Source organism: Homo sapiens, chromosome 3 (assembly GCF_000001405.40).
Source record: "Homo sapiens chromosome 3, GRCh38.p14 Primary Assembly".
In the NCBI taxonomy this organism is placed as follows: domain Eukaryota; kingdom Metazoa; phylum Chordata; class Mammalia; order Primates; family Hominidae; genus Homo; species Homo sapiens.
In genome coordinates, this window is record NC_000003.12 from 190,323,519 (window position 1) to 190,350,449 (window position 26,931).

A 26,931-nucleotide genomic window follows, 5' to 3' on the forward strand; every position below is an offset into this window, starting at 1 on the left:
TCATTGAAATGTTTTTCCAACTGCTTTTTGTGTGTGGTGCGAGTGTGGTGGGAGGGGAAGCTTCTATGGTTTTAGTAAAAACAGAAGCATCTTGGAAGCAGAAATAAACATATTAAGGATAAAATAAGATATACCCTTATATACCATGGCAACTGCTAGTTGGTGACAGAGAAGGAAAGGTGCAAATTCTCAAGGTGGGAATGGGAAGAAAGGCCAAGCCCCACCACCTTCATTTCCACCTGGCTCTCCCTGGATGCCTTTCATGTAGGCTTAAAACTAAAGGACTTGGCCGTGCTAGGATTTAGGGACAAGCAATGAAGAATGTAAGACAGGAGCTAGATGAAGACAATTAATTTGGACTGAGATTAACACAGTGAATACTGTCTTTCTCCTATCAGCTGTTTAGGACAAGACCATGTTCGTGTTGTATCCCAGGGTTAGGGCCTGCAGTCAGTACTACTGTCTAGGTCTCAGTGGATGTTCTGTGGGTGCCTGTCAGTGTGGATGAAGATGTATCAATCACATTTGATTTTGTAAAAATTCCCTGATCAGAGAAGGCACTGGAATTTGCTGCAGGACTAGAGCAGTACCATGTGAATCATATAATCTCATTTTCTTCTTTTTTTTGTTCCAAACATTTAAGAATTAAAAGTATTATTAAACACCCGGGCACGGTGGCTCAGGCCAGGCGCAGTGGCTCACGCCTGTAATCCCAACACTTTGGGAGGCTGAGGCAGGCGGATCACTTGAGATCAGGAGTTCGAGATCAGCCTGGCCAACATGGTGAAACCCCGTCTCTACTAACAATATGAAAATTAGCCGGGCATGGTGGTGGGCGCCTGTAATTCCAGCTACTTGGGAGGCTGAGGTAGGAGAATTGCTTGAACCCGGGAGGCGGAGGTGGCAGTGAGCCCAGATCGTGCCACTGCACTCCAGCCTGGGCAACAGACCAAGACCCCATCTCAACAAATAAATAAATAAATAAATAAACAAATAAATGACATTTTCTGCGTTCAGTAAATATATTTGTGCACAGGCCCTTTTACTCTGCATTACAACTGGTTTCTATCAACCTACAATTAGCGGGGAATCGGAGGGATGAGTTCTGTGGTCAGCAGGGTCCCGTGTTTTTGTTTTGTATTTCAGGTCTGTGCGAGGCTGATTACTTCACTACCCACAACCATGTTTGTGAGGCTGAGGTGAATGCTGTTTGCTTCACTGTGATTCAGGCCCATCTCTAGGCATCCTTAATCCTGTCTAGTTTTCTGCTCCTAGCTTAAGTGCAGAGGACAGGTGAGATAATGGCTCAGCATAAATCTATCAACTTAAGAGGAAAAACAGCTTCCAAATACTGGCCTTTCATATCTGAAACATAAACAGTAAAGGCAGCACTGAGACCAAGAAGGCTCTAGAAAGGCTGGCAATGGTATGGTAAGTGTCCTAGCCTGTTGAGTAGTAAAATCTGCTATGTACCCTCAGACAAATTACTTCTTTTCTTCCTCAGTTTCCCTACCAATAAAAGGGATGGGGTTAATTTCTGAAAGTCACCCAAGTCTAAAGCTTTATGACTCTAAGTAATGACAGCTGGCACTTGTTGCTGTATATTTTCATCAAGTGTTGAGGTCAGAGTTTTATATGCTATCTCTACGTGCAGGTAACAGACACAGAGAGGTCAGGCTGCTTATCCAAGTTCATATTGAATATGGCAGCGCTGGAATTCCAAACTATATAATTTGACGCTCGTGTCCATGCCTTTGACTGCTCTCCTGCAGTATTTCTCTGTGTGACCCAAATCAATCGAGGACAATTTTTTTTTTCTTCTTTGGAAGAGCTTAGACATACTTATCATGTGTTTCTTGCTCCAGGCAGTGGCAAGATATTTTACTCTGTGACTGTCTCTTCTTAATATCTGTTGCAGCCCACTGAGGTTTTATACCCTGGGGATTTAGAATCATGTGGCAAAAAGTTGTTGCTGTTGAGGAGGAAGAGATGTGTAAAAACAGCAAATAGCGTACTGGTTTATTCCATGTGCTTGTGCGACTGATGCTTGGGCTTAGCCATGATCTTGAGAACCAATAATAAGTAGAAGAGATATACACATAAAAGACAGAAGCAAAGGTAAGACTGTGAGTGTCAGAAGAGAGTGTAGACAAAGAACCAAGCCTCTAAGAGGCAGCATGGCAGATTCTCAGAAATGGTTAATGATGACAGTATGAAAGCCATTGGGATGTTAATTTTTTTGCTTAGTGTTAATATATGTTAATGTTGACTTTTCAGAGCTTCTTAAGTGGTAAAAGCAGAACGAATGAACACATTACTAAGTAAGCAATCTGCTGTGTAATTATTTAGGGCTTGAGAAAAGGATCAGAGTACAAATATTGTATAAATTTAACATGAATTTTAGTATTAAAACATTCAGGTTACTAAAACTGCATTGCTGTGTGACTGACACAACCTTTTAAAATGGCCCTTTGAAGCTCCTTGGAGTCTTTGAGAGGGTAGTGAGGGGTAGTGGTTAAAAGCACAAACCTTTTGAATCCCATTACTGCCACTTAAAGTAACCTTGAGAAATTTGCATAACATCCTTGTGACTCACATTTTTTCTTCTTTTGAATGGCTCAAACCCTAGTGCTGTTATGAACATTAAACAAGTTCAGACATGCACATTATTTAAAATAGTAGCTGGTATAGAGCAAGCATACATGAAACAGTACTTATTATTTCAAGCAGATCAGATACGTTCCATTTCTGATCCTGCCATTTGCAAATGATCCTCATGTTTGTTCAGGAGGACTCTTTCATGCTTCGATTCTGTTACAGTCCCACTGAATGTCATAGTTAAATCGTAGTGAAAAGATACGCAGTTTCTCTAGAAAGAAGACACAATGTTGTGTTCAGAAAAAGAGAAGGCAGCAATGGCAGGGGTATGAGCTTTCAGTGAGATTTCTAGGTCCCCTCTCCAAGCCTTGCGATGTTTTCCCTCCTAGCTCTGGATAGTTTCCCTGGTTAGGACTAATGCCTGAGGGCTTCTTCTGAGGAGGGGTTGGCCAAGAGGGAGAATGGCGATGTGATATCAGATGACTCCCACAGATCTGCAAGAATCTGTAGAGGGTAATGAGAGAAAAACAAACAAAACCTCAGTTTGATATTTTTATTATCAAGTGCCTCCCTTGTTTTCAGGGACATAAAACTTCCCCCATAGATTGCCCCCTTAACTCCTAGCCTAGCAGGTCCATCTCTTCAGAGAATTTGGGAGGGGATGAAATTTTAGCCATAAAACCTTCTGTTTCAGTCATAAAAGGTTACCTTGAAACAAGGTGCTGAATGACTGTTCCTTTTATCCTTTCACTTGTGTCATTTGGGGAAGATCCTTTTTATCTTAGAGATACTAGAAACATTCAACTGATTTGAACAAGAATCAAGGTCAAATTGCTAATATTTTACTTGTAATCTCTTTAATATGACACTAGCTTTATTAGTGGGAGTTCTCCAAAGAATAGACTACATGTGTGTATTTGTGTGTCTGTGGAGAGAGAGGAGAGAGAGAGAGAGGAAGGGAGAGACAGAGATTTATTATAAGAAATTGGCTCATTCAGTTGTGGGAGCTGCCAAATTCAACATTCGTAAAGTGTTCCAGCAGGCGGAAGACTTGAATAAGAGTTGACTTCACAGTCTAGAGTCTGAAATTTTTTAGGTTTCAGAATTCCTGCTCTTCTGGGAAACCTCCGTATTTCCTTGATTGAATTAAGCCCATCAAATTACGGAGGGTAATGCACTTTATTCACAGTCTACTGATTTAAATGTTAATCACAACTAAAGAATACAGCCACATCTGGGCTGGTATTAACCTAACATGTGGACACCATAGCCTAGCCAAGTGGACACATAAAATCAACCATCACACTCACTAACACTTACTGATCATTTAGATTCTAAGGGCTTTGTTGTATAAACTTACTTAGTGCTCAAAAAAGCCACTGAATTAGATAACTATCAACACAGATGAGAAAAGTGAGGTGTGAAAAAGTAAAGTAGTTTATCCCAAGTTACACAGCTAGCAAAAAGCAGAGTTGGCCTCCAAACTCAGTTGTTCTGGCTCTTGATCCAGAAAGCTTATGTGGTACGCTATCCTACACCTGAAGCAAATATTTATCAGTTACCTCCTTTGTATCTCTCCAAAGTTACAACTACCTAGTACAGTGATACCCAAAGACTGCATCCTCATCAGGCCACCAAATCAGAGTCATATCAGAGTGAATAGGAAGTACTCAGTAAGTGAGGGGTAACTAACGGAATTAGTGAACAGATGGATGGACTGATAGAGGAAGACTCTCTAATCTTTATTATAATCCAAGGCACTAGGAACACTTTAGTGAATAAAACAATTTTGACTCACAAGTAGATCTTGTTTTTTTTGTGTGTGTTTAGAGAACATATCAAAGCAGAAATAAGTAGCAATGCGATGAAGATCATAATTTTTTGGACAGGTGTGGTGGCTCATCCCTATAATCCTAACAGCTTGGGAGGCCAAGGTGAGAGAATTACTTGATTGCAGGAGCTCGAGACTAGCCTGAACAAAATAGTAAGATTCCATCTCTACAAAAAAAAAAAAATAGCTAGACATGGGTGGCATGCACCTATAGTCCCAGCAACTCGGGAGGCTGAGGTAGGAGAATCACTTGGGCTCGAGAGATGGAGGCTATAGTGAGCTGTGATCATGACACTGCACTCCTGCCTGGGTGACAGAGTGAGACCTGTCACACACACACAAAATATCTTAATTTTTAATACCTTGATTTTTGGGATAAGACAGAATCTAGGATATGATACTACTTTCTCTCTCCATTAGACATGATGTTAGGCAAGTTAATTAATCTTTCTATGCCTCATTTTCTCCATCTGTAAAAGAAAAGAAATATGTGTATCTCACAGTGTTGTGAGGAGTAAATAAAATTGATTGAAGTCACTTATGGATAATGCTAAATCCTGTATCTGGAACTTGGAAAGTGTTTGATAAATGATAGCAGTACTGTGAGAACCTGGGTAAGTATTCCATTAGCAAGGAATAGAGTGTGGTAGGCTGGCTGTGACTTGATCCTGCTGAACAAAATATTTGAACTAAACTCCCAGCTACATAAGGGAGAGAACATTCTACGTAAAAAAAAAAAACAAGATTTTATATATAAATATAGAGCAGTGTTACAAACTGGTGAGTTGCATCTCAAGTTTGACCTGAATATGCATTTTGTTTGAACTGCTCAGCAATTTTCCAAAAACTAAATTAGCTTTTAACTTTGAAAAATTGAAAGATTTCCCTAAAAATCTAGATTCTCTTTTGTTTAGAGTAATCAAACGAGATGGCAATACTATGCAGCTCTATGGTTTCTGATTTCTCCAAAGTATCTGCTATTTCTACTTTGTTCATTTATGTTACTTCTCTGGGCCCTGTAGGCATTTGGTGCAACATATGCATAGGTAGTGCACAACGTAAATAGTTTAACTTACAGGATTTGCATGCCAAGCTAAGTGTGGACTTTATCACATAGTAGTCAATAAGGAGCAATCACAGAATTTCCAGAAGACACTTGAGCAAATTTGTTATTTTTTGGGGGGGAGGCAGAAGGAAGAGATATAAGTTAATTTAATGAACAAGCTGAATAGTTTAGGGATGGGTTGGTGAGAGGGTTTGAACTATGTCAAAGGCGGGACATTGCAGATAGAGAGATGAGTGCACCCACCAGAGATGGGTGAAAGTGAATATTTATACCTTTATGTGATTTCATATCTATTCTGAGCTAAGAGCCATGACAATTTCAAAAACTTCTGGGGATTTTACCCAGTCATCACAGGACGGAGACATTACTTGTGTTCCTAAAGGAGATCAAACATTGGATAGGAAGAATGACTCTTATTCCCTATCTCAGTTTTAGCCATTTCAGAGAGGAAGGAGAAGCTCAACCTTTTGAATTTATACAGTATGTCAATCTTTATTATGGCTCTTTCCTGAGGGATTTTCAAGAACAATAATATTATGCATGATTTTAGCCTGTAAGATGCAATTTGGCTGTATTGTCTTAGGAGGAATAATAAGACTTGGAACCAGGAAGATTGATGAGGAAAAGTGGGTATTAGACATTAGTTTTGATTAATATGCTCATGCAAATCATTAACTTAACCTGTGGTTATTTAACTTTTTTTCTCAGGGGAATAAAAAGACATTCAATGGTTTAAAGGAGGAATAATACCTGATAAGACTTGCATTTGAACATTACTCTGAACAGTGAAGAATGCTTTGGGGAGAGGAATCTTAGAGAGGTATAGCAGTGTATTCCAGTTAGAAGGATGTTAGTATTATCTAGGTGAGGAATGGACTTCAGGACTGAAGTCTGAATTGAAAGAAAAACAGGAAAAGAAACAGTTGAAAAAGTATGATGGGGTTGGATTCTTAGTGTACTAGAGACCAGTTAGCTGACTAATTTGGGGACTATTGAAATATTGTAGAAGAAATATCTCAACCGTCCCCCCTCCACCAGCATCACTTAATCATATACATGACTGAATACAAGATTATATGCAATTTCAGGTTCGCTAGCTAGAAATGTTTCCAAAATTGAGAATATAGTACCTAATATTCTGAGTTCCAACTGTATGCTCACTATTCTAAGCATTCTGCCTGAGATTCTAGAGGCAGAAACTTGAACGACCTTTTGTTTACTGAAAAACTATTGTTTCATTGTGAAATATTGGTTCTAAGGAATAAACTATTAAAATACTCAATTATGCTGTTTTATAATAATAGTAACTAGTTGTGATCCATGTTCTAACTGAGGCTCACTCTCTGTGTGTCATAATGAAGTTGTTTAAGTCAATATGGTAAAAATGGCAAGAAGCATGAGCTGTAGCTTCAGATTGATGCATTCCAATCTTGGCTTTGCTGGTTGCTCGCTGTGTGATATTAGATAAGTTACTTATCATCCTCTGGATGCTTCATTTTTTTATTTGCAAAATAAGAATACTAGTACTACTTTCATCATCCGGTGGTGGTGAAGGGTGGGTTATTACATATAACTTATTTAGAAAAGAGCCCGGCACATGTTAGCTGCTCAAGAAATGTTATCTCTTGTAATAACTGGTATAGGAGGAAGATGTGAGAATCGGAACAAGTACATGACCCTAAGGATGGAGAATGGGGTGAAGTGAGAGATTTTACAATGGAACAAGTTGCCTTATTGTGTCATAAGATGAATTATAAATAATTAACATGCCATAACCACTAGGAAAATAATCAAAAGTAAAATTAATTTTCCAAAGACATGCATGTGTCTATGTAACTTTTAACCTTCAAATTTAAAACTAAAGTCTTAAAATAAATCTGCTACTCTTTCAGCCTTATCCTGTTCTCTCTCCTACCTAAGAAAGCCTCAGAAACAACTGCTTATTCTATGACATTTGCACAAGGTAGAGGTTAAACCAGGGAGAACCAGAATCAATGAGTAAACATGAGAAATAGAAAGAGGACAGAGTGCAACATTGCAAAAGTCCCACAGTTAGGAATGAATTTGAAACTGATTTTCTGTTACTCTGACCTTTGCTACCATACCTATGTGAGGTTAGGGTCAATAGATGAGCATGATCTGCTGTCTGATTATGCCTGCCCTTAGTGCTGCAGAGACCATCCTGGCTGGAATTTGAATGCAAACAGTGATGTCTTCTCCCAAGCAACTTTCTTCCTCTACCGTTGACATTAATGGTGGCTGCCACCATATTCCCACAAGCTTTATCAAATATTTACTGAGTACACAGTTTACTAAACACAGCTCCAGGATTTAGAACAGCCAAAGGCTTGTTTATTATTTGCTACAGTATTATTTGGTAAAAATTGTCTTTGGAATCCTAGGCAGGATATAGAAAGTAGCATTTAGTTATAATCTAGGCCCTAACTGCATTGTCCAACTTGATAGCCACTAGTCACACATGGCTATTTAAATTTTAATTAATGAAAATTAAAAATTCAGTTCCTCTGTTGTACTTGACAATTTCAAGTAACTACATACTGGCAATGCAGATATAGAGCATTCTGCCACCTCACGTACTTATGTTGTTCATCACTACTAGAGTGTTCTTGTCACAGTTCTAAAATGTATTTGACTACACGGATAGTCTCTGTTGAAATTTTTAAAATATCTCTCTAAAAATTAGTCTATTAGTTTTCTGTGGTTACTGTAATGAATTACCACAAATTTAGTGGCTTAAAACAGCAAATTTGTTATTTGCAGTTCTGTAGTTGAGAAAACTGAAAGGGATCTCACTGGGCTATAATTAAAATGTCCACAAGCCTATGTACTTCTCTGGAGGCTCCATTCCTTGTCCTGGTACATTCTAGAGGGATCTATATCCCTTGGCTCATGGCCATCTTCCTCCGTCTTCAAAGCCAGCAAGTATGGGCCAAATGCTTTTCACAAAGCCATTTCTCTGGTTCACTCTCTTTACCTCCTTCTGACATTTATAAGGACACTTGTGATAACATTGGGCTCATTCAGATAATCCAAGATAATCACATCTCAAGATCAATTGATGAACAATCTTAATTCCCATCGTGCCATGTAATATAACATATCTCTGAGTTTGAAGAATAAAGACATGTATATATTTGGCAGAGGGAGGTTATTATTCTACCTACCATCATGAGTAAATATTTTATGAAGTACATTGATTTTCCTTGTAGAAAGAGGCTATGTAAATATATTGCAGATAATTATTCACATATTTCTGAATTTAACAAAAGTTCTGATTATATGTAATGAAATTAATTAATAAAAATAAGATATTAATAGTTTGCTTAATATGCACCAGACAGTAAGGGCTAAGATTTTAAGAGCTTATATGCATGAACTCATGATTGAGTAAAGAGAGACATTAATAACACCTTAAGTAGGAGTGTGGGATAAATGAAGACATGGAATCTTAATTGGGAAAATGGGGTTCTCTTCCTGGCATAGCCACTTACTCACCTGTGCAATTTCTAAGGATTTAAATTTTTCAGGTAGATAAAAGGAGAACAGATTAAAATTATCTCTAAGGTCTCCTCCGACACTTAAATTTTTCCACTATTAATTAAGTTAGCAGAAAGATAAGATTATGCAAAAGCACAATATCGAGTAATACAGAATTGCTGTGTATTACTGGAAAATTAAACAAGATAATATGACTTGGAAGACTAAAGAAAGATTATTTAATCAGGTATAGCAGAGCATGATTTTTTTTTTTTTGTTACAAGACATACTATGGCTTAAGAGACTGGATAGTAAAGAAACTGAATAAAAATAGTCAAACCGAGCCCAGAAACTGATGGCATACACTTTGCTTTATTAAGGATTGAGATTGAAGGAGGAATACGAAGGGAACATTGTATTTCCAGTTGGGTTAAACTGACATTAATTATTAGTCGTACACATGATTAAGCAAATTTTTATCCCCCTGCTTTATTGTAGTCAGGTGTTTAGGGAAAAAGGAGAATATTACTGCCATTAGAAGAGCTACATCTCTGTCAAAAGCTATCAGACCATACCCAAATAAACCTTTACACCCAACAAGGTTGATAAACAACTGAGACTCTTTTTGTGGTAGACATTAGCATGTGCGTTATGCGGTAACTCAAAGAGTGAGACAAAGGAATTTTCTCAATAAAATTAGGTAATTTCATTCTATTTTAAATGAAATAGACCTCAGGTTTAGGAACTCTAAGGATCCACAACTTTCAGATCAAGGTGTGTTAAAATAATTTATTTTCCCTAAAAGGGTATTAATTCTAAGACTTATTCAGATTCTTAGAAATATTTGGGCCAATGGCACTGTAAGTATGTTAACAAATTACCCATTTTGAGTGCCTTAAAGTACTTTAAGTGTATGCACTATTACTCAAAAACTATGGATAAAATTTTATATAATACCAGTAGGATATTTTCCCTTATAGGGATTGAATACTATGTAGCTAAAACAATTATCAGTCTATCATCTATCTATCTATCTATCTATCTATCTATCTATCTATCTATCTATCTATCAATCATCTTTCTATAAATCTACTGATCTTTCATCTTTCTATGATATTCTGCCTAATGTTCAGCAGCCCATTGTGCATGCCACACTTACTAAAATCTTATCATAACGTGGAGTTCTTTCTCTGATAATGAAAAAGAAAAGTATGCTGTCCCTCCTTGAAATTCTATGATTTTTCACTCTCTATTACACACATTTACTCATTCAATCATTTATTAATCTTTCATATTCTTCAAAGGTGTATTATTTGCAAGGCACTGGAAATACTGTGATAAAAGGCACATACTTCAATGGGGTGAGGGGTAACATGCAGCTGACAGAAACATTGTCACAGAACCATGTAAATTTTATGAAAATTTTAGGTAAAGAGTATTATGGAATCAGGGTAGAGTGGCATCTAAAATTTGAGACAAGGAGGAGGGGCTAGAGTTGCCATTAAAAAGATATTGCTTAAAGTGGAATCTTGAAGAACATGAATGAATCATTCATGATTTCTTCCATTCATTCATTTATTGCTACTCTGCCAAAATGATGCAAAAACAAAGCCATTCCTGTGCTCAAGTAATTAAAAATCTATTTGAGAAATAACTTGTAGCAAACTGGAGTACAGAGTGATTGTTGTTAGGATAAAACTATACGTGTGTGTTTAGCACAATGAGGGAAGTTGTAGTGGGCTAGCAGAAGGATGTACTCAGATTAGGGAGAGCAATATCAGATAAGAGGAAAAGTATTTGAGAAGTGGAAGGATAAGAAATTTGACTGGAGTATATGCTATATCAGGTAGGGAGCCATGGAATATGAAGCTGCAAAATGGAATAAAGAGACTGAGAAGGGCCCACTATGCTAAAGACTTTGAGCTTCATCTCTTAGGTTGTGTGCAAGCACTGAATGATTTGTGGACAAGCACTGGACAATTTTTTGTGTGTGCTCCTCTACATCCATTCTGCAACATTTTCCACTCAGTCTGTTCCCCAGCAACTGAATCTTTCCACTTGCATTCATAGTCTCTCTTGCTCTCTGGCTTTGGCCAAAGAGAAGCACCTTTAGAAAGTCAGAGCACAGGAGAAAAGTGAAACTGGAATGGTAGATGTTGTTGGTAACCACCACGTCATCTTCTTTGTTAGGAGGGTAACCCATCTCCCAGGTGCTACAGGTATTGGTTACTAGCAAATTGCATTGTTAGCAGCAATGAGGAAAGCCCTTGGCTAGTGAGAGCCATGTGACTTAGAGATGCCTGGGAAGGTATGCAGCTTTCCTCTTCACCAGTGGCTGGTAAGCGGTGGTTGACCTATGCAATGGTGGAACAGCCTTGCCCCCTTGCATCTAGGCAGTAGAATCTCTGGAAACAATTTGTACTCCAGAGCTCGTTGTGGGTTCAGTCTAAAGATGAATTCTTTTATTTTTCTTTTCTTTTCTTTTTATTCTTTTCTTTCCTTTTCTTTTTTCTTTTTTTTTTTTTTTGTTTGTTGTGTTTGTTTGCTTTTGAGATGGAGTTTTGCTCTGTTGCCCTGGCTAGAGTGCAGTGGCACGATCTTAACTCACTGCAACCTATGGCTCCCAGGTTCAAGCGATTCTCCTGCCACAGCCTCCCTAGTAGCTGAGATTACAGGCACCCGCCACCATGCCCAGCTAATTTTTGTATTTTTAGTAGGGACGGAGTTTCACCACGTTGGCCAGGCTGGTCTCGAACTCTTGACCTCAGGTGATCCTCTCGCCTCTGCCTCCCAAAGTGCTAGGATTACAGATGTGAGCCACTGCACCTGGCCCTGAGGATGAATTCTTCTGAAATCACATCTTCATCTAGCTTCTTCCTTTGTACTCTTCTGCTACTCTTGCCTCTTTAAAGGTTTATCCTGGCTGGGTGCAGTGGCTCACGCCTGTAATCCCAGCACTTTGAGAGGCCGAAACGGGTGGATCATGAGGTCAGGAGATCAAGACCATCCTGGCCAACATGGTGAAACCCTGTCTCTACTAAAATACAAAAAACATTTGGGCGTGGTGGTGCATGCCTGTAGCCCCAGCTACTGGGGAGGCTGAGGCAGGGGAATCACTTGAACCCAGGAGGCGGAGCTTGCAGTGAGCCGAGATCGTGCCACTGCACTCCAGCCTGGTGACAGAGCAAGACTCCATCAAAAAAAAAAAAAAAAAAAAAAAGGTTTATCCTAAGGGCATGCCCTGAATAAATGACTTGCATAAAATTATCTGTCTCAGACACTGATTCTAGAGAACACAGCTTCTAGGGAGCTCAATATAAATGACAGTTATTGCTAGAAATTGTCCCATAAAGCAGACTCTAAAGATTTAATTCTGGAGTTGAATCAGACCCCAGCTTGGTAGTAAGGATGACCCCAAACCTAGTGGTAAGTAGAGTATTTATAGTTTCTTGAATGTTCTAACAGTACAATTGCTAAAGTGTTGGAGATGCCGTAGCTTTTACAGTGTCTTTGGCATTTGAGAGAAGTAGGGGAAATAATAAGATTATGGAACGTGGAATTTGGTGTTAGTTGTTGTGTGCCTTTTGGTTACTCAGGAGAAAAAAAAATGACTAATCATTAATTTAAAACTAAGTGCAAAAGTCAGAGGTTATTTCTGGAAGTCTTTAAAGAGACTTTTCTCACTTGCAGCTTGGGAGCATGTTGAGCCGGTGAACCATAGGCCTTAGTTGTGACAAGAGCAAAACTTCAGAAAAGCCTAAATTCATGCCTAGGTAAGACTCTGGATGCCATAATAAGGCAGATGTGCTTCAGAGAGTGGGAGTTAAGCCATGCAGATTCAGTGGCTTGCCACATATACGATGCTTTTAGGGATCCAGTGGTCTGGTGCATACTCGAACATCCCTTCCAAGGTAAAGGGCAAAGTTATGGCATCTTTTGTATACTACCATTAAAAAAGAAGTAAAACACAGCACATACAACACTTGGGAATACTACAATGAATGATTTAGCAAGTGCTGTGGAAAGTTCCCCGTTTTCAGTGAGGCCCTGAGCAAGAAAGGGCATGTTCAGGCCATATAGCACAAGCTGTCCTACCACATGGCTTATGTGGCCCAACAGATCCTATAGTTGCATAAAAGTTATCTCTAGGAGATAAAGGTTTTGTGTGGAGTCTCTGACAAGCCCCAACAGAAGGGTTTCATAACAGGCTGCTGAGATTGTGGAGCAAGGCCATGCCATCTGCAGCAGAGCATGTGATTTAAAATGCAGTTGCATCAAGACATGAGACAAAAGCTGTTCGCCAAGAACTGGACGCTGGCAGTCCAAGTAATAAACTACAGCAGCCCCAACAGCAATTATTTATAAAATAGAAGTGTTACAGAATGGATCACCCTTAAAATATCCAAAGGGCATATGTAAGCTGGATGAACAAATATTCCAGACTTCTTTGTCACCAGCACAGTCTCACCTGACACCACTCAATCAGCTCACACTTGTAACCTCATGGGAGAATCCTTATGAGCAGCTAATAGAGGAAGAAAACAACACAGGCTTGGTCCATGGATTGTTCATCTCAGTATGTTGGTGTGGACAATGGACTGCTGTTGTAATATAGCCCCACTTGGTAAGTCCTGGAAGACAGTATTCATGGGAAAATACAAACAGGAGGCAGGATTTGGGTTAGTGTTACTTGTAATCCAATTTTGTTGAGTGACAAATGGCTTAAAAGAACGCTATACACATGGTCATTGGTGGATAGCTTGGCCTGAACAAAGCAATGTTTTCATATTAGTGACAAGAAGATCCAAGAAAGAAGCATGTGGATGAACATATGGAAATGGGCAGAAACTAAGAAGAACTCACCATTACGTGTTAACCCTCATCAAGTTAGAGACACAAAGCAACCAAGTGTGGAGAATGGCCCAATAGATAAGAAGAAACTTAGCTAGCTGAAAGGTCTCACGAATGTAGTAGTCATGGCAGCATAGATGGAGACAATATGTGGACGATAAGAATGCGTTCTCCTCTCACCAAAGCTCATATACCCGATGCCATATCCAACCTATCAACCAACACATTTCTGTGCTGAGCTCCTTATATGATAATATTCTTTGACAAAACCAGCCAGACATTTTGGTGGCAAGCTGATAAAACTGGACTGCTCTCATCCTGACAAAAGCAACAATTAATCCTGAGTAGTAGTGACACACATTCCTAGGATGTGTTTGCCTTTTCTACCAGTAGTATTTCTGTCAGCATTATACAGAAAGGCTCACAGAGAGAGATATTGGATAGCATCTCATACAATATCACTTCAGATCAAGAGAACCCCTTTATGGCAAAGGAAGCCTGGTAGTGGGAACATGGCAAAGATATCCCCTGATCCTATGATACATTGAATCAATTAGTGGCAGCTGACCCTATAGAGCATAGGAAAGCCCCTTTTAATGTATAGCTGTAGTACCATCTTGAAGATGATGCCTGTAGATGGAGACACTATACTTCAGAAAGATGTACATTCATCCTAAACCAACAGCCATTACATGGTGCCAGGGTGCCCAGTAGGTAGAGTACATGAGTTCAGTAACCAAAAGACGGAGGAAATAGTAGCCCTACTTCACCGCCACTCCAAGAATTGACTAGGAGATGTTGTATTGCCTGTCTACTCAATTTTAGAGCCTGTGGATCCAGAGGTCCCAGAGAAGATATGCTTTCACTCAGGGACACAAGAGTCTCATAGAACTTAAAGATACAGCTGATACATGATCACTTCTAGTTCTTCAAGTGGACCAACAAGCAAGAAAAGGAATTATTATACTGCCAAGATTGTGTACACTAGGATATTTGAATGTGTAGTGGCGTATTTTAGCCTGATTACCTAAGGAAAAGGGCTGCTGTTACTTAATAGGGGCATGGAGAAATACTTTTCATACCTACGTGAACTGCAGGTTATCTCTTGGTACCCTCATGCCCAAGTTTAATTATAAATTGACAAGTACAGCAATTATTGCCTGGCAAGTGCGTGGTAACTAGGGAATCAAGGCTCTCAGGGATGAGTGTCTGAGACATCCCACCAGACAAGCCACCTAGATGAACTGAAGTCCTAGCTGAGTGTAAAAGGAATCTATAATTGTAGCTGACAGGGATAATGTGTATTATTGACAGCCTTGAGATCAATTGCAGCAAAGAAGGCTGTAATTCATCCTACAAATGCTCCTCTTACAAGTTTTCCTAGAAATTGAGACCAACTCAAATTCTGAAGAAGCTAAGACCAGATAGGAAGAACTTATTGTGAGAAGTGAATGGATTTGAGAAGTGTGAGTGGCAGACTTGGAAGTGGCTCTTGGCACTTCTCCAGATCTCCTTGACTGGGCTGGTACACTCATACCCCTGCAGGTCTTGGCTGATAACTGCTCAAGTTAGCACATTTCACTGTAGGGTTGTCCTCAGCTGATTGAAGCTACCTCACCCAGAAATGCCTGAGAAGTTACACTGTTCTCTCTCCAAAGACTGACAAGTGCAGGGATAAGACAGTGCAGCTCTCTTTTCTCTGGCCAAGAAAATTATCTGATTATAATCTATGTTCTAGAGAGCTAACTAGGGGATTAGATTGAGACTAAACTTCTGAAATCATATTATTGCCTAACTCTACCCATCCTTCATCTTTTCCTGCTCTTCTTGCTTCCTTAAAGACTTCTAAGTGTATTCCTTCTAGAAATCACCTGCACAAGACTCTCTGTCTAATACTCTGCTTCTAGGCTTCTGGGCCTAACTCAATTACATGTGGCAATGGCTGGGTTTCTCTATGGAGAACCACAGTCTCACCTAGTGGTCATTTCCTGTGTATACATTATTCTTCATTTGTGTGTGACATTGGTTTCCTGTCACAATCCTGACTAATGAAGCAGAAGCAAGCAGGGAGTGATGTGATTAGATTCACATTTAGAAAGCTCAATCTGGCAGCAGTGTTGAGGAGACAATGTATGAGAGGCAAGTCTAGTTGCAAAAATATAATTTCATAGATTATGGTAATAGTCTAGAAAATAATTGAAAAGGGCTAGAAGTTTAATGATCATTGGAAATAGCATACATTAGGTAAACTTGTAAGATAGGTCAGCAGTAAAATTGATTTAAGGATTAATATGTCCTAACCTCCTGCAAGAATTGAAACCACATATACTGCCTTAAAAACTCATTAAACAATTATTGTTTTACCACATATGTAAAAAAAATTACTACTACTCCTGCGGAGCTTGTAGTCTTAATAGTGAATAATGACTATCTTGGTAGTTGTTATAAAAGTCAAAAAATAAATATTATACTAGAATTATAAGCAAAAGGGTGTGAAATCAAGAAAAACTATAGGACAATATTTCCAATGAACACTGACACAAAAGTCAGCAGTTAAATATTAGCAAATCAAATTCAACAGCATATCAGAAAGATTATACATCATAATCAAGTGAGATTTATCCCTGGAATAAAAGGTTGGTTTAATATAAACAAATCAGTTGGTGATATATCATATTAACAGACATAAAGTCAAAAAGCCACATGATCATATCTATTGACAAAGAAAAAGTATTTGACAAAGTTTAACATCCTTTCTTGATAAAAACTTCTAACACTTTAGGTATAGAAGGAAAGTTCCTCAATGTAATAAGGGCTATTTATGGAAAACCCACAGCTAACATAAACAATGGGAAGAAACTGACAGCATTTCCTCTGAGATCTGGTATAAGACAAGGATGCCTACTGTATTAGTCCATTTTCATCCTGCTGATGAAAACATACCTGAGACTGGGCAATTTACAAAAGAAAGAGGTTTATTAGACTTACAGTTCCATGCAGCGGGGAGGCCTCACAATCACAGTCATGGCAGAGATGAAAGGAATGTCTCACGTGGTGGCAGACAAGAGCTTGTGCAGGGGAACTCCCATTTTTAAAACCATCAAATCTCATGAGTCTTACTCACTAACATGAGAGGGTAGCACAGGAAAGACCTCCCACCCATGATTCAATTACCTGCTACCAGGTCCATCCCACAACACGTGGGAATCGTGGGAGTTACAAATCAAGATGAGATTTGGGTGGGGACACAACCAAACCATATCATTCTGCCCCTAGCGACTCCTAATCTTGTTCTAACATTTCAAAACCAATCATGCCTTCCCAACAGTCCCCCAACATCTTAACTCATTTCAGCATTAACTCAAAAGTCCAAAATCTCATCTGAGACAAGGCAAGCCCCTTCTGTCTATGAGCCTGTGTAAAATCAAAATCAAGTTAGTTACTTCCTAGATACAATGGGGGTACAGGAATTGGGTAAATATAGCCATTCCAAATGGGAGAAATTGGCCAAAACAAAGGGGTTACAGGCCCCATGCAAGTCGGAAATCCAGCAGGGCAGTCAAATCTTAAAGCTCCAAAATGATTTCCTTTGACTCCAGGTCTCACGACCAGGTCATGCTGATGCAAGAGGTGGGTTCCCATGGTCTTGGGCAGCTCTGCCCTTGTGGCTTTGCAGGGTAGAGCTTTTCCTCCAGCTGCTTTCATGGGCTGGCATGACATTGAGTGTCTGCAGCTTTTCCAGGTACACAGTGCAAGCCGTCAGTGGATCTACCATTATGGGGTCTAGAGGATGATGGCCCTCTTTTCACAGTTCGACTAGGTGGTGCCCCAGTAGGGACTCTATGTGGGGGCTCCAACCCCACATTTCTCTTCCACACTGCCCTAGCAGAGGTTCTCTATAAGGACCCCACCCCTGTAGCAAACTTCTGCCTGGATATCAAGGTGTTTCCATACATCCTCTGAAATCTAGGCAGAGGCTCCCAAATCCCAAGTCTTGACTTCTGTGCACTTGCAGGCTCAACACCAGGTGGAAGCTGCCAAGGTTTGGGAATTGCACCCTCTGAAGTCATGGCCTGAGCTCTATGTTGGCCCCTTTCAGCCATGGCTGGAGCAGCTGGGATGCAGGGTACCAAGTCCCTAGGCTGCACACAGCAGAGGAACCCTGGGCCTGGCCCACTAAACAATTTTTTTCCTCCTAGGCCTCCAGGTCTGTGATGGGAGGGGCTGCCACAAAGGTCTCTCACATGCCCTGGAGATATTTTTTTCCATTGACTTGGTGATTAATATTCGGCTTCTCATTAGTTATGCAAATTTCTATAGCCGGCTTGGATTTCTCCCCGCAGAATGAGATTTTCTTTTCTATTGCATTGTCAGGCTGCAGATTTTCTGAACTTTGATGCTCTGTTTCCCTTTTAAAACTGAATGCATTTAACAGCACTCAAGTCACCTCTTGAATGCTTTGCTGCTTAAAAATTTCTTTCACCGGATACCCCAAATCATCTCTCTCAAGTTCAAAGATCCACAAATCTCTAGGGCAGGGACAAAATGCTGCCAGTCTCTTTGCTAAAACATAACAAGAGTCACCTTTGCTCCAGTTCCCCAAAAGGTCCTTATTTCCATCTGAAACCACCTGAGCCTGGACTTTATTTTCCATATCACTATCAGCATTTTTGGCAAAGCCATTCAAGAAATCTCCAGGAAGTTCCAAACTTTCTCACATCTTCCTGTCTTCTTCTGAGCCCTCCAAACTGTTCCAAACTCTGCCTGTTACACAGTTCCAAAGTCGCTTCCACATTTTCAGGTATCTTTTCAGGAGCACCCCACTCTGCTGGTACCAATTTACTGTATTAGTTCATTTTCATGCTGCTGATAAGGACATACCTGAGACTGGGCAATTTACAAAAGAAAGAGGTTTATTGGACTTACAGTTCCACATGGCTGGGGATGCATCACAATTATGGCAGAAGGTGAAAGGCACATCTCACATGGTGGTAGAATTTGGTAAAGTTGCAAGATATAAAATCAACATACAAAAATCTGTGGGATTTATATATGCAAATAATGACCTAGGTGAAACAGAAAGCAAAAAGACAATCTGATTTACAATAGCATAAAAATTGAAATTCTTAGGAATAAATTTAACCAAAGAGGTGAAAGACCTGTCCCCTGAAAACTATAAGACATTAATGAAAGAAATTGAAAAGGATACAAAGCTATAGTAAACAAAACAGCATGGTACTGGCATAAAAGAGGCATGTCAGCCAGTGGAACAGAAGGGAGAGTCCCAAAATAAATCCAAACATTTACAGTTAACTAATTTTCACCATAGATACCAACATGATGCAATGGGAAAAAGATAGTGTTTTCAATAAATGGTGCTCAGAAAACTGGATTTTCACATGCAAAAGAAATACATTGGACCCTTCCAGCACACACAAAAATTAATTTAGAATGGATTAAAGACTTAAACATAAGAAATGAAGCCATAAAACTCCTGGAAAAAAACATAGGGGAAAAACTCCTTGACATTGGCCTTGGCAATGATTTCTTGAATATCACACCAGAAGTTTAAGCTACAAAAGCAAAAGTAAATAAGTATGACTATATCAAATCAAAAAGCTTTTGCATAGCAAAGAAAACAATCAACAAAATGAAAAGACAACCTACGGATTGGAAAAAATATTTGCAAATCATGTATCAGAGAAAGGGTTAATATAAAAGATTTATAAAGATCTCATCCAACTCAATAGTGAGAAAACTTATAACCCACTTATAACTGGGTAAGGACTGAAATACGTATTTCTCCAAAGATGACATAAAAGTTGCCAACAAGTGTATGAAAAAGAGCTCAACATTACTAATAATCAGGAAAATAGATCATAAGCAACTATAAGATACCACCTCACGCCTGTTAGGATAGCTGGTATCAAAAAGACAAGAGATAAAAAATGTTGATCAGGGTGTGGAAGAAAGGGAAGCCTTGTACACTTTTGGGAATGTAGATTGGTACAGCCATAAAAAAAGTATAGAAGTTCCTAAAGAAATTAAAAATATAGCTACTATATGATCCAGCAATATCTCTTTTGGGTATATACTCAAAGGAGATAAAATCACCACCTCGTAAAGATATCTGCACTCTCATATTCATTGCAGCATTGTTCATACAATACCTAAGATACAGAAACAACCTAGGTGTACATCAGTGGATGAATGGATAAAAAATCTATAGTGTATATATACAAAGAAATATTATTCAGCCTTAAGTACAAAGAGATTCTGCCATTTGCCACGACATATATGAATCTGAAGGGCATTATGCTACGTGAAGTAAGTCAGACACAGAAAGAAAAATATCACATGACTTCACTTATATATGGAATCTTAAAAAAATGGCAGGGGAGTCAAATCAATAAAAAGAGATAGAAAATAAAACAGTGGTTATCAGAGTTCAGGTCTGGGGGAGAAAATGGGAAGATACAGGCCAGAGGATACAAAGTAGCAACGTAGGATGAACAAGTTGAAAGATCTAATGTACAAATAGAGACTACAGTAAATAATAATGTACTGTAGTCAAGATTTTTGCTACATGGGTAGATTGTATCTTCACATGTGATAGGGCGAATAATGAATAAATATGTAAGATGATGGATTTGCTATTTTGTTTCACTGCAGCAATCATTTTACTATATACATGTATCATAACATCATGTTGTATAACTTAAATGTGCACAATACATTTTTTAATGAAATGAAATATAAAAAATATAAAAAATAATTTTGAAAAACGCTTTGAAAGCACGTATGAAGAATAGCCATCATTATAAAACACAGAGCTTCCAAATTTCTGTAACTAAATAACACCTTCAGAGAAATTGCTTATATTACCTAAACATCTCTGAATAACTTCTTAAAATTCCCAGAAAAGCCATATGTGGATTTTTATGCATGCACCTCCAAGAAGCTTTAATTATCTTAATCATATTCACTACTGGTATTAAAAGTACTACAGATAAATTGCTATTAAATATTATTTAAACAGTCATTAATATTTGATAGATTTAATGTGTATATAAACTGTTCTTAATTTTCATATAAGTATTATAGAGTAGTGAATAATGTATATTATATATAATTCATAATTATACATAGTACATACTGTATTACATACTATGTATTCTGTAAATGCATTTGTATAAATGTGAAAATATATTAAATGTTAAAATTATATATGTATGTATACTTTTAGTCGACACTTTTATTTTGGCAAAACATTAAGAATTAAATCACTAAATTTTCCTTGTCTTCCATAAAAAAGTAGCATAAGGAAAGCTGTGGAAATAAAAAAAAAAACTAAGGATTCCAGATAATCATGTGATTAGGTTATAGAATAAAGGAGGATAAATGTCTGGAGAAAGAGTTGCAAAAATTAGGCCAAGCTGTAAAAGGGGGTCTTCTTGCTCATGCTAGGAATTTGGTTGGGATTTAGGGACACATTGAATATTGGCAGAGAAGGGTCAGGTAGCTGTATTTTCACACAGATCGATTCAGAGGAAATAATTCTATTTACCCAGAAGTGTAAATAAATGAATAAGATCAGACTTTTACTTAGAAGAGTATGGGGAAAATAGACAAAATTCAGAGACAGAGGAAGAGTTAAGCTAATACCAATGTTAACACTGAAATTTGTAGATTTAAAGGGTAAAGTAATTTGACTAAAGACACCCCTCTCCACCTAACACACACACAGTGCTGCTAGTGAACTCTGTATTAAGCTACAGTTTAAGTTCCTGGTTCTTGTTGTCTTACCAGCTTTGATAGTAACCAGGGAGATAGCTGGCAAGAGCTTCTAGGGGCAGGCAGGCAGGATTTTGGCTCGGATGGATACTACCAGATAAAAGGTCTTTCACAACCTCTTTGTTCATTTTGTGATATTTCTCAGTTTAGGGACTTTCTCTTCTCCTCTTCATATCACACACCCACTGCACCTCAGGAATTTGACTTCTCCTCCCTTAGTTACACATTCTCTCACTGCACTTATGGAATTTGAGTTACTTCCTATCAGGTTTGAATCACCCTATTTGGCAATCCTGGAATTATTTGAAAATGCTCTCATCTCATCACTATTATTTTTCCTCTGTAAACAAGCCTCGTGTTTTTCCAGAGCCTCTTCTTTCAGTTGTGTTAATCTCATATTTATTTTTTACAGGCCTAGCTCCGTCTCTCTTTATCATAAGCAGCATAATGCTCTCTAGAAAGACTCTTTGATGAGGAAAAGGAATTCTGGTTCTAGTTTTGCCACTGATAGGTGTTCAGCTTTGTTTAAATGCTTTACCTCACTGGGCTTCCAGTTATTCATTCGTGAAATACAGGAAGAGGCTAAAATAAACACACTTTGGCAGCTTTCCTTCCTTCTCATAAAATTCTGACTTTCAGTTTGTCCCAGGTAATCTGCCAGTCTATCCATCTGTCCCCTCCTTTAAACTAACAACTGTATGTTTATTACTGTATTGATTACATTGTATTGAAATAATCTTATTCATTTATTTATGTAATATATATAATATTTATTGAGGTAGTGCTGAGCATATGCCAGGGACTGGACTAAACCCAAATAACAAGACTCTTGTAACCAGTCCTTTTAGGTCTTACAGTGTAAGTGACAATACACATGAACATTCAGAAGTGTGATGGAAGTAGCCAAGGATAGAACTGAAGCGTCCTATGGCACGTAAGACAGAGGGATCTTCCTTAACCAGGAAGGAACTCCCTTAAAGAAGGAATTTACACCGAGACCGAAGGAAAGAAACAGAAAAGAAAGTGTTTTAGCAGAGGGAACCACATGTTAGAATGCCTGGAGGTGAGAGAGAATAAAAATTCAAAAGAAGTTCTGTTTGCTTAGGGAAGGAAAAAAAAACTGAAGGAAAAAGAAGTACCATGTAGAGATGTGGGTGTGTGACCAGATTTTGCTACAGGGAATTTTGAACTGTTTTAAAGTTTTGGTCTCTATTCTATGAACAATAAAAATCCTCCGGCAATTTTAAGCAGGATAGTGACCCAGTCATATTTGCGTTTTAACAGTTTTGATCTAGATTCATAATGATGCTGAAATTAAAATAATAACTAAATTTTATTTTATGCTTACTATAGCCAAAACTGTACATTCTTTATGTAAGTTGTCCTAGTATTCTTTACAACAACTATACTAGTTTCTTAGGGATGTGGCAACAAATTACCACAAACTAGGTGGCTTAAAAGAAATTCATTCTCTCATTTTTCTGGAGCCCAGACGTCTGAGATCAGGATACCAGTAAGGTCATAGGCTTTGTCTGAAGGGGATCTTGGGAAGTATCCTTCCCTGCCTTCTCCTAGCTTGTAGTGGTTACTCACAATCCCTGGTGTTGCTTGGCTTGCAGATCCATCACCCCAGCCTCTGCCTTTCCACATGACATTCTCCCCTGTGTCTCCCATTGCCTTCCCTCTGCCCATGTTTCTGTGTCCAAATTGTTCTCTCCTTATAAGGACATCAGTTATTGTATGGCTCACCCTAATCCAGTATTACCTTATTACTTCCGAAAAGCTCCTATTTCCAAATAAGTTCACACGCCGAGGTTTGGGCGGGGGGACACTTTGGAGAACACTATTATTATTTTGGAGGATACTCTTTATCCTCATGCTGTAACTGTAAGATGTTTGCCTAACTGGAGAGGTGAGTGAGGAAACTGAGGCACTATGAAGTTTAAAAATATGTCCAAGGTCACAAAGCTAATATGTGGCAGAGACGATTGACAGAGAGACCAGCTAGGAAACGATTGCAGAGCCATGATGATGGTGGCAATGGGGATGGCAACGTATAGATGATTCTGATAAATATTTTTAGAGTAGACTCAATAACATTTGTTAATAATTTTGATGTGATGAGAAAGTAGGGAGGAGTCAAGAAAAACTACCAGTTTTTCTGGGTAGACCTCCTATTTATAGTGCTAGAAAACACTGGACAAAAGGATAGTTTTAGAGAGAAAGGAGAAAAATTCAGAGATGCCAGTGCTGAGTTTGAAGTGCCCAAGGAACATATAGTTATAAATGGATATAACGATCTGGCACTCAAAAGAAAGGTCTGTGTTAGACCATCAGAAAATTGTAGCATTCATTCATCATTACTAAATACTTATGAGTGTCTGCCACATGTCAATTATTATCTTAGGTATCAAGGACACAGTTGTGAATAAGATAGGCAAGTTCCTGCCCTCATGGAAATGTCATTCTTGATGGGGGAGACAGATAATAAACAACAAAGATAAATAAGACAATTTCAACTAGGCATGTCTGCTGTGTAGACAATAAAAAGAGGTGATATGAAAGTCAATGATTGGTACAGATTACCTTCTTCAGTTTGGAGGATGAAAGTAGGTTTCTCTGAAGTGGCGACAAGTGAGCTGAGACCTGCATGATATGAGGTGATTTCAGGGATCTAAGTGCACAAAAGCCCAGAAGCAGTGATGATCTTGTAGTTTGTAAGGAACAGAAAAAAAGGTCTGTGGCTGGAGCATAGGGAACCTAGTGGTGGTACAGGGCGAGGAATCGGTAGAAGATGAGACCATGGGCTGGGCGCGGTGGCTCACATCTGTAATCCCAGCATTTTGAGAGGCCAAGGCAGGTGGATCACGAGGTCAGGAGATTGTGACCATCCTGGTTAACAAGGTGAAACCCCGTCTCTACTGAAAATACAAAAAAAAAAAAAAAAAAATTAGCTGGCACGGTGGCACTTGCCTGTAATCCCAGCTACTCGGGCGGCTGAGGCAGGAGAATTGCTTGAATCTGGGAGGCGGAGCTTGCAGTGAGCTGAGATGGTGCCACTACACTCCAGCCTGGCGACAGAGCAAGACTCCGTCTCAAAAAAAAAAAAAAAAAAGAATAAATCAAAAAAAAAAAAAAAAGATGAGACCACAATGTCAAGGAAGACAGCAAGACTGCAATGTGTGTGTGTGTGTGTGTGTGTGTGTGTGGTGTGTGTCTTTGGAAGATTATGTTTCTTACAAAGATATACACACCCACACTGATTTTTGTTTCATTTAAAGCCATGGGAATAGAAGATATTGCTTAGAGAGACTGTGCAGAGTGAAGGAAAGCAAAAGCCTACAACACAGGCCTGCAGTCACTTAAGTCTCATGGATAAATGTGGTCAGACCAGAAGAAAGAAAACAATATGCTTTCATGTCTGTTTATCCCATTAAAATAAAAACTATGCCCCCATTGCCAAGCAAACCTTCTTTTATGAAATTGTGTCAATAAATATTTAAAGAATTCATTTTTTAAGTTTTAAGGTCAGGGGTACATGTGCAGGTCTGTTACACAGGTAAACTTGTGTCATGGGGGTTTGTTGTACAGATTATTTCATCACCCAGGTACTAAGCCTAGTACCCATTAGTTATTTTTCCTGATCCTCTTTCTCTTACCTCCCTCCACCCTCCAAAAGACCCCAGTGTGTGTTGTTTCCCACTATGTGGCCATGTGTTCTCATCATTTAGCTCCCACTTATAAGTGAGAACATGTGATGTCTGGTTTTCTGTTTCTGTGTTAGTTTGCTAAAGATAATGGTCTTTAGCTCCATCCATGTCTCTGCAAAGGACATAATCTCATTCTTTTTCATGGCTGCGTAATATACCAGCGTGTATATGTACCACATTTTCTTTATCCAGTCTGTCATTGATGGGCATTAAGGTTGATGAATCGATATCAGATAGATGAAAGGAAATAGTATGGTAAGACCCTGGTATGGTTTTTGTGTCCCCACCCAAATCCAGTTGTTCAATTGTAATCCCCAGTGTTGGGGGAGGGACCTGGTGGGAGGCGATTGGATCATGGGGATGAATTTCCCCTTGTTGTTCTCATGATAGTGAGTGAGTTCTCATAAGAGCTGGTTGTTTAAACGTGTGTAGAGCTTCCCCCTTCACTCCTTCTCTCCTGCCACCACATGAAGACATGCTTGCTTCCCCTTGGCCCTTCTGCCATGATTGTAAGTTTCCTGAGGCCCCCCAGCCATGCTTCCTGTGCAGCCTGAGGAACTGTCAGTCAAACTTCTTTTCTTTATAAATTACCCAGGCTCAGGTAGGTATTTATAGCAGTGCAAGAACAGACTAATACAGATCCCCATTCATGGTATGTTTCATCAATGGTCATGTCTTTACTTTTCCTGAGTCCACATCATTTTCTGTGTGACTTCACTGTTTTTGTCTATAAAAGGACTATAGTATTGTTTCCCAACCGTTGACTTGCATAGTTTGACCCTGTGACTTGTGTTATCCATTGACATGAGGTGAAAATGATAGTGTGCCAGTTCTACATGCAGGTCACAAGAGGCTTTGCATGTTCCTTTTATACACTTGCACTCCTGCCATTACCATGAGAAGAACATGCCTGAGCTAGACCCAAGGTAAAGAAGGAAAATGAAAGATTTCTCAGCTGTGCTGCCCCAGGCAAGCCTATCCTAGGGTAGAGCCCCAGTCAAACTGCAGGTATATAAGTGAGTTCAGACTGGGTCAGCCTTGATTAACCCATTCAACTCACAAGCATGGTAGCTACAATAATGAAGGATTGGTCTTAAAACCATTGAATTTCGGGTGGTTTGGTACAGAGAAATGACTGATGTACTAATCTTTTGAGGGGATGACCTGACCAAACAAGCTATGGGAAAATGAGGAATAGATGAGCGGACCAGGCACAGGGCAGGGCATGGAGACAAGCATTTAACCATCTCCCTCCCACATCTAAGTACATCTTAATGTCTTATGAAGATTCTAAGAATCCAGTAGAATCCAGTAGAAATATTTTCAAATTTGTATGAAAAAGGAACAGGTTTTTGAGACATGATTCATTTTATTCCCTGCGTAAAGCTCTTCAAATTAGCCCAAAGTCTGGTGTGAAATGATAAAGCTTTTCTACATAAAAGCAGTACTTGAAGTTTAAGAATCATAGTTCATAATGTTATATATATATATATATATATACTTTATTATAGATGTTGGATTGTATTGTTACTTATCATATTAAAGATATTAAAAATGACAATGTTAAAAAGAGTCAATGTGTA

General features: G+C 38.9%; 1 protein-coding gene across 3 annotated transcripts in view; it reads left to right on the plus strand.

Annotated features, from left to right (window-relative positions):
- The window catches only part of CLDN16 (claudin 16), a 121,778-nt gene that overhangs the window by 33,158 nt on the left and 61,689 nt on the right, over positions 1-26,931 (plus strand). The gene's annotated exons all lie outside the window — the stretch shown is intronic.